Genomic DNA, 17,280 nt, shown 5'->3' on the forward strand with positions numbered 1-17,280 from the left:
GGGGAGTAATCTGTCACATGGCAAAAGCGGGAGAAAGAAGTAGTGGTAAGGGGGTAGATGCCACACACTTTTAAACAACCAGATCTCGTGAGAGAGAACTCACTCACTATCGTGAGGACTGCATCAAGAGGGTGGTGGTAAACCATTCATGAGTGATCCGCCCCTATGATCCAATCACCTCCCCCCACCAGGTTCACCCTCCAACACTAGGGATTACATATCAACGTGAGATTTGGGTGGGGACATGCATGCAAACCATATCAACTGTTCATTCAAAGACCCTAATTAATAAGAGAAATGAAATAATATTGGGAAAGGAAAGCAGGATGAAGCAAAAATGTCACTTTAATCGAGAAAACTGAGGCATTTTTCAAAGCCAGGAGAAATCCCAATAGGGAAAATAGGAAGATTAACTTAAAAGGGATGGCAGTGAAGACAGAAGTCAAGTAAGTTCCTTTATACATGTGAAGAGATGAGAGCAAAGGAACATCAGACATTCTTTTGCAACATCCGACTTTAACTTTCGAGAGACGGTATATCTTGCTCTGAGATGTGAGAGAAGAATAAATATAGATATAGGAACAGATAAATTGAATTAAAGATGAGAGAACTAATGGGATTGGGGGCTTTAAGCCCCCAGGGAGAATGGTTTTATTTCTTTAAGAAATAAAACACAGCCTGAAAAGTTTCCATGGAAAATGATCCAAGAAGTCAACGAGGATAAATAGAAGGAGTGGTGAGCAGGAGACCCTGGCCAAACTGAAATTGTACAGCAGGCTCTCGCAGGGCACCAGCTGCACTAAGCCACACAACTTTCTCCAGCAGCATTCTGCAGTCTGTGAGCAGAAGGCTCACCGTGGAGCAATCCAAGGCTAGAGATGGGAGGGTCCTCAAGAGAGTCCAAAATACTGGCAAGAGGAGCACAGAGGCAGCTGACCACTTACTACAAGGTGAAAAGGACTCAAGTTTGGTCCAACGAGAGAAGACTGATCTTAGCAAAGAGGGCTGGCATGAGTAACGTTGCATTCCGCAGTCAACAGAGAAAACATGTTTTCAGAGTTAAGGGGGAGGCAGAGAAAAGAAATGGTGCAAAAGAGCTGAATTTCAGTGTGATTGGGAGCAATATTTTATGTTAGGGGCTTAGTTCCATGTGTGGCTGAGGTGACTTGGCAATATTAAGCATGAGGTCAAGGGATCTGATAAGTGGAGAACTTGGATGTTTAAAAGTGTCATTTTGGATGAGAGAATGAAACAGTGGACAGACAGGCCAAAAGCTGGAGTCTGGGATCTGGGGACGTGATTTCTTTTTTTTTCCCTTACAGCAGAGGTTCCAAAAGCATGGGTTTTGGATCAGCAGCATCTATAAGTGTGATAGATCTGCAACTTGAGGGGGCTGATTTCTGCATCAGAAACTCTGAGGCGAAGGCTTATCAATCCATGTTTTTTAAAAAACATTTATTTGTTTTAAAAATGTTCTTAAAAAACATTATTTTTACCGTATTTATTTAAGGTGTACAGCATGATGCTTTGATACATGCATATGTATCGTAATGATTACCACAGTCAAAAAATTAACATTCCCATCACCTGCTCATGTTTAACAAGTCCTTCAGGTGACTGGGTGCACACTTAAGTTTAAGAACAACTTTCTTAGAGAACAGAGCAAGGAGAATGGAAAGATTAGAGAAGGGCCTCACCTGTTAAGAAATAAAGACAGCAAGGCTTGATCAGCATTCTGATATAATCAGCATGGATAATAATAATAACCAAGCAATACATTTTTATTTAACACTTTTGCATTTTATAAGACTCTTTCAAATATATTCTACAATTTAAGGCAGATGGGGACTTTATTCCATGGAGTTAGGATTGTAATCGAGGATGAAACTCTTGGAGTTAAGGATTATCTCGAAAACAGCATTTTCTGAGGAGAGCGGTGTTTTTCAGATGATATAATGGAATGGTGTGAAATTATTTTTAAGCAAAGGGGAGTTTTGCCTAAGTTTAAAATGCTATTCCACAGGGCACAATGTATAAGGTCAGCAAGAGGAAAGACCTAAGGAAACTAAATGTTATTGATGAAATGCCACAGATGAAAAGTTGGTTTCAGAACCAGTGAGTCATGGAGTATTTGGCTGAGGGGAGCAGTGGGTTGGGATGAGGTGGTGAGACCCACTTTGGGTAGAGGAAGAGGAGAAGTTCTGAACTGTACGAACTGTATTTCATGGCACATGACAATGGGCATTGGAGTTAAAACAAAGTTTGAAATCTAATACCAACATATACCAGCCATGTGACTTTAAGGAAGTTACTTCTCTGGCACTCAGATTCCTTCATTATCAATTAAATATTTAAATTTCTATTTAATTGAGCTGGTATGAGAATGAAAAAAAAATGCTGTATATACCATCAGTACATTTAATAAATGTAAATGATTCACACACTTCCCTCTCCCTCTCTCCCACCCTCTCTCTCTCTCTTCTGAACTGTAAGTTCTTGTTAATTATATGAAGAACACAGAGATATGTTCAGCTATCATGAAGATAATTAATATATGTGGGTTTTTAAAATAGATGCTATGGTGACAACTTTTGTGGAGCTAAGGCTAATTTTGGCTACTCAAAATAACAAGGAAAATTTCGAGCTCTCTATAACCTAACAAAAGCCACCTAGAACGACAATGTGTTTTTTTAATAGAAGCCAGATTTGAAGCTTGTTTTTACCATTCATGTGACAAATCTGCCTGATAAGGCCCAGGCTGCTCTCTACATTGAAGATGAGGTGAGCAGGCAGACTAGGCCTCCACTGTCGCAGACCTCAAGTTCACATGCAGAAAACCAATTCTAATTTTTAAATAAGTATGATAATTACATTTTTCCATGAATTGATTTTCTTCTTTGTTTTTTGAGATAAGGTCTTGCTCTGTCACTCAGGCTGGAGTGCAGTGGTACTATCACAGCTCACTGCAACCTCACCCTCCAAGCTGAAACGATCCTCCCAAGTAGCTGGTGTGCACCACCATGCCTGGTTAATTTTTTTTAATTTTTTTAATTTTTTAATTTTTAATTTTTTGTAGAGATAGGGTCTTGCTATGTTGCCCAGGTTGGTCTCAAAATCCTAGGCACAAGTGATCCTCCTGCCTCAGCCTCTCAAAGTGCTGGGATTATAGGTGTAAGCCATCATGCTTGGCCACATTTTTACATAAATTTCATGAAGGGGAAGAAATAGGATGTCTGGAGGACATGGCACTTAAATTAAAAAGGTGATGATAGGACTTAGAACATAAAAATATTTACATTTAATTATATTAAATTATCTTAAATATAATTAAATTATAATTTATATTATAAATCTGATTTATAATATAAATTATTTTATGTATAACAAACTATTATCATATTATTCATAGAATTAATATATTATAATAATATATGTAACTATTATATATTATTAATTTAGAATTTGAATTATAATAATTTAATTTATAATAATATAGAAAATATTTATAAATTGCCTTAAAAGTTTCTCAAATTCTATTTATCTCAGCTACTTTAATTCCCACATCAGTTTCTATATTTGAGAAATGATAAAGTGGAATAGGTCAATTCTAAAGTCTCTGGCAGCTCAAAATCTTCATAATTCTATGTATTATTTTCATATAATATACCATAAGAAAAAACTAAAGTTTATGGTCACTTACTAAACTAATCATTTCAGACATAGGACTTCTCAAATGATCAGCAAATAAAAACTTCTCCAGGAGATTATTTTATGATTTTTATCAGATGAGCTTAGCAAAATCAATCAGAGAACATAAATATTAGTAAGTGAGTAATTGTATATCTACTTTGTGGACATATGCAAATTTGACTGATAGATTTATCCTGCTATAGAGAAGGCTTAAACAATAGTATCCCATACTAGAACTCTAGCTGTACCTGCTTTTCTTTTTTTCTTTTTTTTTTTGAGATGGGGTCTTGCTCTGTCGCCCAGGCTGGAGTGCAGTGGTGCATTCTGTAACCCCTGCCTCCCAGGTTCAAGCGATTCTCCTGCCTCAGCTTCCCAAGTATCTGGGATTACAGGCGCCTGCCACCACGCAAGACTAATTTTTGTATTTTTAGTAGAGACGGGGTTTCACCATGTTGGCCAGGCTGGTCTCGAACTCCTGACCTTGTGATCTTCCCACCTTGGCCTCCCAAAGTGCAGGGATTACAGGCGTGAGCCACTGTGCCTGGCCTGTACCTGCTTTTCAACGATAATTTTATGACAAATAATAGGAATGTTTACTGTTTATAGAAAGGAATGTGAAATTTTAAGAAATGCATGCAAAATTTAAGGATGCTACGTTTTAACAATATTGAAAATAAATGGTTTCAAGAAGAAGAGTAAATGATAAGTGTAATTCACATTACAAATATGAGGTTGCTTTGTGATTTGCTAGGAGCAAACTTTTAGCACATATATTCTGAAGAATCATGACAAGTTAGACATGTTATAATTTCCTGGTAATCACTGTATGAAAAAATACCACTCGTTGTTAGATGATTTACATAAAAATAAATTCACAGTGTCATTTGAATTTATTTAATTATTTAAATACTAGGCTAAATATATTCTTTAGAGAAATCTTTGTAAAATTGTATTTTTGTTAGTAATTAAAAGTATTAGTAATGTTTATTACTGTCTCTACTCTACACTCAACTGAAGTCCTCAGTAATTCCCAGTGACTGCCATGATGGGATCTGACAATATCTGACAATGCCTGAGAGGCTTAGGCTTCAACATACATTCAGTTAGGAATGAGGAAATACATAGAGGACTTCACATTCACCTAAGGTTAGATATTTGATTTAAATAATTCTTTGCCTGTGGAATATAGACACACTACCTATGTGGTCAATTAGCACATCTGTTATGATATTTATCTCAAACATATTTCAAAGTTTGTTTAATTACAAAGGCAGTGCCTTAATTTAAAAAAACTCAATGCATTCAGTGTGCATTGTAAAAAGTAAGGAGATCGAGACCATTCTGGCTAACACAGTGAAACTCCGTCTCTACTAAAAATACAAAAAAATTAGCTGTTTGTGGTGGCGGATGCCTGTAGTCCTGGCTACGCGGGAGGCTGAGGCAGGAGAATGGCATGAACCTGGGAGGTGGAGCTTGCAGTAAGCAGAGATCGCGCCACTACACTCTGGCCTGGGCGACAGAGCAAGACTCTGTCTCAAAAAGAAAAAAAAAAGAAAATTCAGATAAACGAACTCAATAAAATAAAAATGCAATATTTCTACCATTCATAGATTATCACACATATACTATAGATTACACTTCAGTGTAAAACCTTCCAGATATTTTGCTATGTTTATATATGTACACACACACACACAGAAAGATATCTATGTCAGTTGCCTAATATTCACATAATATTCACATTTTCTTATCAATGACTTTTCATCTTAACTAACATGCAGGGTTTTGTTTTGTTTTGTTTTCTGAGACAAGAGTCTTGCTCTATTGCCCAGGCTGGAGTGCAGCGACACCATCTTGGGTCACTGCAACCTCTCCTTTCCCAGGTTCAAGCGATTCTCCCGTCTCAGCTTCTCAAGTAGCTGAGATTACAGGTGTTCGCCACAACGACCAGCTAATTATTTTACTTTTAAGTAGAGATAGGGTTTTGCCACGTTGGCCAGGCTGGTCTCAAACTCCTGACCTCAAGTGATCTGCCCACCTTGACTTCTCAAAGTGCTGGGATTACAAGAGAGAGGCAACATGCCAGGCCCTAACATATAGTTTATATTCTAACTTTTCTAATTGTCCTAGAAATGCCCGTTAGGGTTGGCTTATCCAAGCCAGGACACATATTGCGTCTATTTTTTATAGTCCTGGAGCCCCTTTTTAAAATTTTATTTATTTAATTAATTATTTATTTGTTTTTGAGGCAGAGTCTCGCTCTGTCACCCAAGCTGGAGTGCAGTGGCACAATCTTGATTCACTGCAACCTCCGCCTCCCAGGTTCCAGCAATCCTCCTGCCTCAGCCTCCCAAGTAGCTTGGATTATAGATGCCCACCACAATGCCAGGCTAATTTTTGTACTTTTAGTGGAGACAGAGTTTCGCCATGTTGGCCAGGCTGATCTCAAACTCTGGCCTCAGGTGATCCCCCTGCCTCGGCCTCCCAAAGTGCTGTGATTACAGGCATGAGCCATCATGCTTGGCCTCCTCTTCTTTTTAAATCTATTAACACCTTCACCTTCTTTTTATATTTCCTTTTATGGCATTGAGTTGTTGAAGAGACCTTGGCAGTTATATTGAAGAATATTCTACCTTCTAAGGATATGCCCCAAAGTAATTTAGCTTGTTCTTTTTTCCCAAATTTAATTCTAAATGGTTATTTGATTAAGAATATGTCATAGATGCAGTACACATTATCACATCAGAGGACATCTAGATAACTCACCATTAATGATGCCACTGAATTTAGCTCATGACAGTCTGATTCCCTGAAATATGGCTACTTATACCCCTTGGGACAGGAAAGTGATCTCTGTTGTTTTACTTTGGCTTCTTTCAAATCAAAACTCATTTTCTATCAAAACTGGTTTTCTATCAAAACTAATAGTCTTTACACAAATTGATCATCCTTAGCAGAGTTGGTGTTTAACTAGGAATTGAAAATTGCTGCTTTTTTAATGCTTTTAATTTAGAATGTAAAATTAAATAGAGTTATCATGGTTATCACTTATAGAGTACTTACAAAATGTCAGGGTTTGTACAACAGGCTAAGTAAGTACTGAGTCATTTAAACCTCATAGAAATCATATGAGGTAGGTAATATTTTGCTCATGTAGCCGATGAGGAAACTGAGACTATTACAATAAGACTATCACAGAAGTTAAAATGCAAACAACACAATAGCAGGAAAACAAATAACCTGATTTTTTTAATGGGCAAAGGATCTGAATAGACATTATTAAAACATTTTCAACATCACTAATCATGGAAGAAATGCAAATTAAACCACAGTGAGATACCAGTTCACAACTGCCAGAGTGGCTAATTTTAGAAAGATAAAAGACAAGTGCTGGCAAGGATGTGGAGAAAAGGGAAGCCTTGTACTCTGTTAGTGGGAATGTAAATTAGTGCAGTCATTATGGAAAACAGTATGTAGGTTTCTCAAAAACTAAAAATAGAGCTACCATATGATCCAGCAATGCCACTTCTGAGTATATATCCAAAAGAAATAAATTCAGTATATCAAAGGGATATCTGCACCCCCATATCCATTGAAGCATTGTTTACAATAGCCAAAATATGAAATCAACCCAAGTGTTCATCAACATATGAATGGATAAAGAAAATCTAGTGTATATACACAATGGAATACTATTCAGCCCTAAAGAAGAAGAAAATGTTAAACTGTTTCACTATAGTAACCATTACACTATCTACATATGTCTGTGTATCTATATGCATCAAATAACATCATGCTATAAAGTTCAAATACATGCAATAATTTTTTTTTAGAAAGAGAATAAAATTCTGTCATTTGCAACAACATGGGTGAACATGGAAAACATTAAGTGAAATAAGCTAGGCACAGAAAAATCAATACTGCTTGATCTCACTTATACGTGAATTTTTTCTTAGAAGTCGACATAGAACCAAAGAGTAGAATGGTGGTTATTAGAGACTGGGGAGAAGGGTGCAGGAGAGGGATTGGGAAGATGTTGATTGAAGAGTACAAAGTTTCGGTTAGTCGGGAGGAATAAGTTTTCAAGATCCATTGCATAACATAGTGATCATAGTTTATAATAATATATTGTACATTTCAAAATTGCTATGAGTAGATTTTAAATATTCTCACTACCAAAAAAATAAGTATGTGAAATGTTGGATATGTTAATTAGCTTGATGTCATTCTTTCAAAATATATACATATGTCAAAATTTCACATTGTACCCCATAAATATATACAATTATTTTTCATGAATTTAAAATTTAAATTAAAGCAGTTAAGAAATGTTTTCTTTTTTTCCTTTTTATTTATTTATTTATTTATTTTTATTATTATACTTTAAGTTTTAGGGTACATGTGCACATTGTGCAGGTTAGTTACATATGTATACATGTGCCATGCTGGTGTGCTGCACCCACTAACTCGTCATCTAGCATTAGGTATATCTCCCACTGCTATCCCTCCCCCCTCCCCCCACTTTCTTATTCACATTTCATTAATGCTGGAAGTAGGATCCAAACCCACTGTTTATCTGACTGCAAAGACTATGATATTTACTAGTAAGTGATATCACTTCCCAAGCTACAAATATTTTATGTTTCATTTAAAAATGATATTAATAATAATAATGTTAAAAATGACATCAATTAAATATAACCATGAATTTCCAGAAAATAGCCTACTCTATCAAATGGAAGTAGTTTAAGCTTACATATCTCAGCCTTCTGCCTCTCATTCTCATTCTTTAGCACTCAGTTTCTAAAATCTCTTTGGTTAAATTTAATAATTTTAGCTTCTTTTTAAAATTTAAAATTGGGTTAGGGTAGAGGACAGAAGAAATATTAGCTACCTTGTGAGAAAATCTTTGTTTGATTTTGTTCCCTCTTGATAAGCAATGAACACCGACTTGTGACAAAATCAAATAACTGCTTGGGGAGTGTATTCATTTCCCTATGGTTTCCTGGAAAATCTTCCTATTTGCCTCATTCATTTGAATATAGAATGTTAAAGGATTTTATTATTCCCATGAAACCCCTTGAGGTTTGTTGACAATTTTTATGAAATATTGAGTAAGTACAAAATAACATTTATGATATAGGTGCAAGGCACAGTGAATACTTATTTAAAGAAAATACCTGCTCTTCTATCATTCAGTTTAAGAAAACTACAGTTATACCTCCCGTATGAACCTCTCCAGATGATGTCTTCCACTTCTCCCTGTACCAGAGATAGTTAGCCTTGTCAATTTTTGACATTATTAAACATTCTAACATTTTCCCATCTTATGTGTCAAATATTACCATATCATGATATTGTTAGTGAGGTACTCATGATATGATATGTTGGTTTTTTTTTCCAGGAAGGAAGGGCTTTTTTGAAATACTTTTATTTTAAGTTCAGGGGTATATGTGCAGGTTTGTTACATAAGTAAACTTGAGTTATGGGGGTTTGTTGTATAGATTATTTCATTACCCAGGTATTAAGCCTAGTACCCATTGGTTATTTTTCCTGATTCTCTCCCTCCTCACACCTTTCACCCTCTGATAGGCCCCAGTGTGCATTGTTCCCCTCTATGTGTCGATGTGCTCTCATCATTTAGCTCCCACTTATACGTAAGAACATGTGATATTTGGTTTACTGTTTCTGTGTTAGTTTGCTAAGGAGAACAGCCTCCAGCTCCATCCATGTACCTGCAAAATACATGATCTCATTCTTTTTTATGGCTGCATAATATTGCATGGCATATATGTACCACATTTTCTTTATCCAATCTGTCATTGATGGGCATTTAGATTGGTTCCACGTCTTTGTTCTTGTTAAAAGTTCTGCAGTGAACATTTGCATGTATGCGTCTTTATGGTAAAATGATTTCTATTGCATTGGGTCTATACCAAATAATGGGATCACTGGGTCAAATGGTAGCTGCTTTTAGCTCTTTGAGGAATCACCACACTGCTTTCCACAATGGTTGAACTAATTTACTCTCCCACCAAGAATCTATAAGGGTTCCCTTTCTCTGTAACCTTGCCAGCATCTGTTCTTTTTTGGCTTTTAATTAATAATCATTCTGACGGGTATGAGATGGCATCTCAATATGGTTTTGATTTGCATTTCTCTATTAATCAGTGATTTTGAGGTTTCTTTCATATGCTTATTGGCCATGTGTATGTCTTCTTTTGAAAAGTGTCCATTCATGTCCTTTGCCCACTTTTTAATGGGGTTGTTTGTTTTTTGCTGTGCAGAAACTCTTTAGTTTAATTAGATCCCATTTTTCCATTTATGCTTTTGTTATTATTGCTTTTGGGATCTTTGTCATGAAATCTTTGCCTGTTCTTCTATGTCCAGAATGGTATTACCTAGATTGTCTTCAAAGGTTTTTATAGTTTTGAGTGTTACATGCAAGTCTTTAATCCATCTTGAGTTGATTTTTGTATATGGTGTAAAGAAGGGGTCTAATTTCCGTCTTCTGCATACGGCAACTCAGCTATCACAGAACCATTTATTGAATAGGGAGTCATTTCCCCATTTATTGTTTTTTGTCAGCTTTGTTGAAGATCAGGTGGTCATAGATGTGCAGCCTTATATCTGGATTCTCTATTATATTCCATTGGTCTATGTGTCCATTTTTGTACCAGTACCATGATGTTTTGGTTACTGTATCCTTGTAGTATAGTTTGAAATCAAGTAACATGATGCCTGCAGCTTTCTTCTTTTTGCTTAGGATTGCCTGGGCTATTCTGGCTCTCTTTTGGGTCCATATGAATATTAAGAGAGCTTTTTCTAGTTCTGTTAAGAATGTCATTGGTAGTTTGATAGGAATAGCATTGAATCTATAAATTGCTTTGGGCAGTACAGCCATTTTAATGATACTGGTTTTTCCTATTCATGAGCATGGGATGTTTTTCCATTTGTTTATGCTGTCTCTGACTTCTTTGAGCAGCATTTTGTAATTCTCAATGTAGAGATCGTTCATCTCCCTGGTTAGCTGTATTCCTAGGTATTTTATTCTTTTTGTGGCTATTGTGAATGAACTTGCATTTCTGATTTGACTCTCGTCTTGGCTGTTGTTGATGTATAGGAATGCCAGTTTTTTTGTGCATTGATTTTGTATGCTGAAACTTTGCTGAAGTTGTTTATCAGCTGAAGGAGCTTTGAGGCTGAGACTGTGGAGTTTTCTAGATATAGAATCATGTTGTCTTCAAAGAGGGATAGTTTGACTTCCTTTTTTCCTTTTTGGATGCCCCATTGCTCTAACCAGGACTTCCAATACTATGTTCAATATGAGTAGTGAAGGAGGACATCCTTATCTTTTGCTGGTTTTCAGGGGGAATGCTTCCAGCTTTTCTCCATTCAGTACAATCTTGGCTGTGGGTTTGTCATAGATGGCTGTTATTATTTTCAGATATGTTCCTTCAATACCTAGTTTATTAAGAGTTTTTAACATGATGGGATGTTGAATTTTATTGAAAGCCTTTTCTGTGTCTGTTAAAATAATCATATGGTTTTTGTCTTTAGTTCTACTTATATGATGAGTTACATTTATTGATTTTTGTATGTTGAACCCAACTTGCATCTCGAGGATGAGTGTGATGGATTAGCTTTCTGATGTGCTGCTGGATTTGGTTTGCAAATATTTTATTATTTTTGCATCTATGATCATCAAGGATATTGGCCTGAAGTTTTCTTTTTTGTTGTGTCTATACCAGGCTTTGGTATCAGGATGATGCTGGCCTCATAGAATAAGTTGAGGAAGAGTCCCTCTTCCTCTATTTTTTGGAATAATTTCAGTAGGAATGGCACCAGCTCTTCTTTGTACATCCAGTAGAATGTGGCCATGAATCCACCTGGTTCTGGACTTTTTGTGGTTGGTAGGCTATTTATAACTGATTCAGTTTCAGAGCTCATTATTGGTCTGTTTAGGAAATCAATTTCTTACTGGTTCAGTCTTGGGAGGTTGTATGTCTGTCCAGAAATTTGTCCATCTCTTCTAGGTTTTCCAGTTTGTGTGCATATAGGTGTTCATAGTGGTTTCTGGTTGTTATTTTTATGTCTGTAGGGTCAGTGATAACATCCCCTTTGTCATTTCTAATTGTGTTTATTTGGATTTTCTCTGCTTTCATCTTTATTTGTCTTATTGACTGCTAGATAGCTAACAGTCTATCTTATTAATTAAAATTGTTGCTCTTTTTAATCGGTTTTTGTGTCTTGATTTCCTTCAGTTCAGCTCTGATTTATATTATTTCTTGTCTTCTACCAGCTTTGGGGTTGGTTTGCTCGTGATTCTCTAATTCTTCCATTTGTGATGTTAGGTTGGTAGTTTGAGGCCTTTCTAACTTTTTGATTTGAGGATTTAGTGCTATGAATTTCCCTTGTAACACTGCCTCAGCTGTGTCCCAGAGATTCTGGTACGTAGTATCTTTGTTTCAAAGAACTTCTTTATTTCTGCCTTAATTTTGTTATTTATCCAAATGTCATTTAGGAGTATGATGTTTAATTTCCATGTAATTGCATGGTTTTGAGTGATATTTTTAGTATTGATTTCTATTTTCATTGTGTTGTTGTCTGAAAGTATGTTTGGTATGATTTTCATTCTTTTGCATTTGTTGAGGGTTGTTTTATGTATGATTATGTGGTCAATTTTAGAGTATGTGCCATGTGGTGATGAGAAGAATATACATTCTCTTGTTTTGGGGTGGAGACTTCTGTAGAGGTCTCTCAGATCCATTTGGTCCAATGTTGATTTCAGGTCCTGAATATCTTTGTTAATTTTGGGGGTATCTAAGGCTCCCTGGGCTCTGCATGTGCCTGAGCAGCTGCTCTGCCAAGACTTCACGTACCTCTGCATGTCAGACTGAAGGCCCTGAAGGAGTGAGTTCACACGTGGATATTCTGACCCAAGGGTTGCAAAGATCTGTGTTGGAAGGATGGGTTCCAGGGGTCACTCATCACTTCCCTGGGCATGGGAGGTTGCCTTGGCTCCATGTCATTCCTAGGTGGGCAGCCATCCTTCCTTGCTTTTCTCTGCTCTTGGTAGGTCGAGTTGTTTCCTTGATTAGTCCCACTGCATGTACCTAGATGTTTCAGTTGAAGGTGCTGTATTTACTTGCCCCTTCCATTCCTCTCTGTGAGAGTGGTGCACACTAGCTGCTTCTACTCAGCCATCATGACCAAACCCCAACATTCTTCACAGAAATGGAAAAAAAAAATCCAAATTTTTGTGGAAAAACAAACAAACCTGAATAGCCAAAGCAATCCTAAGGAGAAAGAACAAAGCTGGAGGCATCACACTACAAGACTTCACAATATGCTACAAAGCTGTAGTAACCAAAACAGCATAGTACTGGCATAAAAACAGACACATTGACCAACAGAATAGAACAGAGAAATCAGAAACTAATCCATGTGTTTACCTCCAACTGATTTTTGACAAAGGCACCAAGAATATATATTTTTTCATAAAGCAATTAAGGCTGTAATTTTCCCCCGTATAAAGTTTTGACTATATCCCATAAATTTTGATAAGAAGTTCCTACAACATTTTTATTGCTGAATGTATTCTAACTTCCATTTTTGTTTCTTCTTCATCACATGAGTTATGTATGTAGAAGTTGGTATTAAAATTTTAAAATATATGGAGTGTTCATATACCCTTTGAAGATAAAATCTCTGAAATTTGCTGTTATCTGGAGCAGGAGCTTTCTAGGAAAGTGAAAGACCCTGGGTTAGAAAGTAGCTGGTGTATTCAAGGAACAGCAAGAAATTCAGTGTGGCTGGAGGAGAGTCTACAAAAGAATAGAAAATGTAATCAGAAGAGTAACACAGAGCGGGTTCTTATAAGGCCTCGAAGATCAGTTAAAGCCTTGACATTTACTCTAAGATAAGGAATACTAGAAGGATTTTAGGCAATTCTGCATTTGAGCAGGATCATTCTGTTAAGAGTAGACAGGACTGGTAAGTGCAGAAGCTCAGATACCAATTAGAAGCACTTTTACAAAAATCTAGATAATAAATGTTCGAGGCTTTGACCAGGAGTGGCAGTGAGTAGAGTGATTTATATAGTTTGGATGTTTGTCCCCTCCAAATCTTATGTTGAAATGTGACCTCCAGTGTTAGAGGTGGGGCCTGATGGGAGGTTATTGGATCATGGGCATGGATGACTCATGAATGGTTTAATGTCATCCCCTTAGTTATAAGTGAGTTCTCCCTCAGTTAGTTCATGCAAGATCTGGTTGTTTAAAAGAGTGTGGCACCTTCCTCCACTCTTGCTCCCACTCTTGTCTTGTGGGATATCAGCTTTCTTTCCATTCCACCATGATGGTAAGCTTCCTGAGGCCTCACCAGAAGCTGAGCAGATGTCAGCACTATGCTTCCTGTACAGCCTACAGAATCATGAGCCAATTAAACCTCTTCTCTGTATAAATTACTTTGTCTCAGGTATTCTTTTATAGCCATGAAAGAATGGACTAACACAGTGATGAAATATCAAATCATGGATATATTTTAAAGGCAGAACTGGTGAAAACTTCTGTCACACTAGATGGGTGTCATAGAAATAGAAGAGCCAAGGATGACAACAACGTTTTTAACTCAAAATCTGGAAGAACTTAGTTGTAATCAACTTAATTAGAGAAGACTTAGGCACTTCTGGAATTCAAGGGAGAGGTCAAGATTGGAGATATAAATTTGGGAATCATCAAATATGTAGAGTCATTTGACTAGTGTAGGTTACCTATGTAGTAGTTAGTGTAAATAAAAAAGAGAGGATGTCCAACTACTATCTCCTTGACAATCCAATATTTAGATGTAGAGGAGATGAAGGGGAGTGAGCAAAAGACAATGAGAACAAGTGACTGTAAAGGTAAGAGGAAAACTAGGCGAGCGTGTTGTGGAAGGTCAAGTGGAGAACATGTTTCAAGATGGACACTATGATCAACTATGACAAATGTTCCTTGTAAGTCAAGATGAGGATAGAGAAATGATTACCAGCAATGGAATTTCACTGCTAATCTTGATAAAGTGCAGTTTTAGTGGAATGGTGTGATGGGAACATGATTGCAATGAATTCAAAGAGAATGAGAGGAGAGCACAAGCATGGACAACTATTTTAAAGAGTCCTTAAATTTTTTAAAGGGAAGATAAAAGATTATGTGATAGCTAGAGGGAGATATGAAAAGAGAAGAGCATTTGATGATGGTAGCATTAACAAATCATACTTGCTTGCTGATAGGCATGATCTAAGAAAAAGGAAAAAAAATGATGATGCAGGAGACAAGTGAGAGAATTGCTGGAGTATTATCCTTGAGTGAGTAAGTGAGAAAAGAATAGCGAGCCCAATGCAGAAGTTGTCCTTAGTGAAGAGCATGGAGTTTATTCAATATAACAGGAGGCAAAATATTATGTATACGAACCTCTATAGATACCTTTGTGGATGTGGTGGTTGGAGCTGTTGGAAATTTTTTTTCCTATTGCTTCCATTTTTTTAATGAAGAAAGAAAATAAGTCATCGGCTGATAATGAGGATAGGGAAGCCATGCACCACGTGTGAGGAGAGGGGAAAGAATGAGAAGTATGAGAAAGAGAAAATCAACTAGGAAAATAAATTATGATCGATGAGCAGCATGAAAAACCCTCTTAGTTTACTGATCATAAATGAAAATTAAGATTGGTAAATACGTTTTATTTCATTTTGTTTTTTGTGTTTTTGTTTTGTTTTGTTTTGTTCATTCTTAGTCACAGTCTGGGCACAAAATATGCAGAGTTGTATTTAATCGATGCTTTGGTTTCATAAAGTGAGTATGACAAAGAACAATAAAGTTAGAGTTTGTTAAACCCTGATCCTTTTCAAAAGTCTGTGGTTTGTGTTATGATATTTTTAAATTACAATTTCATTTACAATTATCATTAAATCCAAAGAAGAATTTTTGACATGATACATCTTCTTTATTAGTGAAAACTAAAACTCACATTATGGGAGATAAGAAAATTATTCTCAAAACTACTTTGAATCAGGATAGTAAAGCATAGTGATTGAAAATAAGTAACTTGCAGTGTGAATGGAAATTTCCATTTAATATGTCAGAAATAGCTTATATAGTAATAGTAATAAGTAATATAATCCCTTGAAATAAAGTAGAAATTTTAAGACACTATTAAAAAAAGATGCTTTTATGGGCTCATTTCTGTCTGAGCCAATATGAAGCTACAAATTGATTTGTTTTTTATCTCAGAAATAAAAATTAATTTTCTTTACAAAGAAATCAAGAAGTTAACATTCTTTTATCAGAATGCCAGAGTGCATCTTAAAGTAATGGCTGCTAGGAAGAATAGTTTTCTTTCAAGTAAGTGTTTATGGATAATATAAGGTATATACAAAATATATGTTAATTTATTTTATTTTAAAATGTATTATTCTCAGATACATGTTACACACCTCCTTAATATCCTCTTGACTTCTCTTGCCTCCTGGACCTTCCTCTCTATTTGCTTCACAGCATTTGGTCTCATGGTAATCCAACTCCAATCACACTCACACAATTCCTCCATCTAAAGCCAATTGACCACAGTCTAGGAGTATCCAGCTCTCCAAAAGCATCTTGATCCTGAGTGAAACACAAGAGAAAGAATAAAATCTAGCTTTTCAAGCAGCTGCTAAAGGGACCAAATAATGTAACCCAGAATTGCAGGGTAATTGACACCTCAGGTGGTGGACTTTGACAAATGGGGAGAGAAGACAAACAAGTCAATTATATAAGTTCTCTCTCCTTCCCTTCGATGTTCTATTCCCAGTCACAGTTTCTCCATAGACCCTGCCTGGAGATATCCTCTAAGGCATAGCAGGTGCACCTACCAAGTTGCCAACTGTGTCATTTGCATTACGTCAAGAAACATAATTAGCATGATACCACATCATCTTGCACTGTACATATCTTTCCCCGCCTCACTTGTTTGCCCTGATTCTCATTTCGTAGAATTGTACATCACAAATAAAGCCTCAGTACTTAATCCTTGCATCAGACTATTTTCAAGGAACCACAGGCTAAAAGGAGAACCAGAGTGTAAAGCACGTGTGCAGTTGAAATGTTCATAGAATCATCACCCAAGTTGAAACTTATAACATTACTTTAGAACCTTTTCTTTATGCCCTTCACCAAATACATAAGATAATCATTATATTTAATTTTATTGTAAACATGTCCATCTGCTTCTTTCCAGTTTTACTGGTTATATATGCATATTCCTAAGCAGTAACATTTTGTTTTGCCATTTTTGAAATCTATATATGTGGGATGATACATAATATATTTTGGGAATTTTCTCCTCTAAGTTTTACTTGTGAGATTCATTCATGTTGCTTCCATGTAGCTGTGGCTTATTAATTTTTGTTATTACATAGTACTATATTATATGAATAATTAAAAATTACTAATTCTACTGAAGAGTAGTTAGGTTTTTAATAGTTCTTTTTCTGTATAAGCATTTTTAGATATGTCTTCTAGGACAAAAATGCAAGAGTGCATCTAGGTTATACACCTATGAGTGGATATT

Source organism: Homo sapiens, chromosome 13 (genome assembly GCF_000001405.40).
Source record: "Homo sapiens chromosome 13, GRCh38.p14 Primary Assembly".
NCBI lineage: Eukaryota > Metazoa > Chordata > Mammalia > Primates > Hominidae > Homo > Homo sapiens.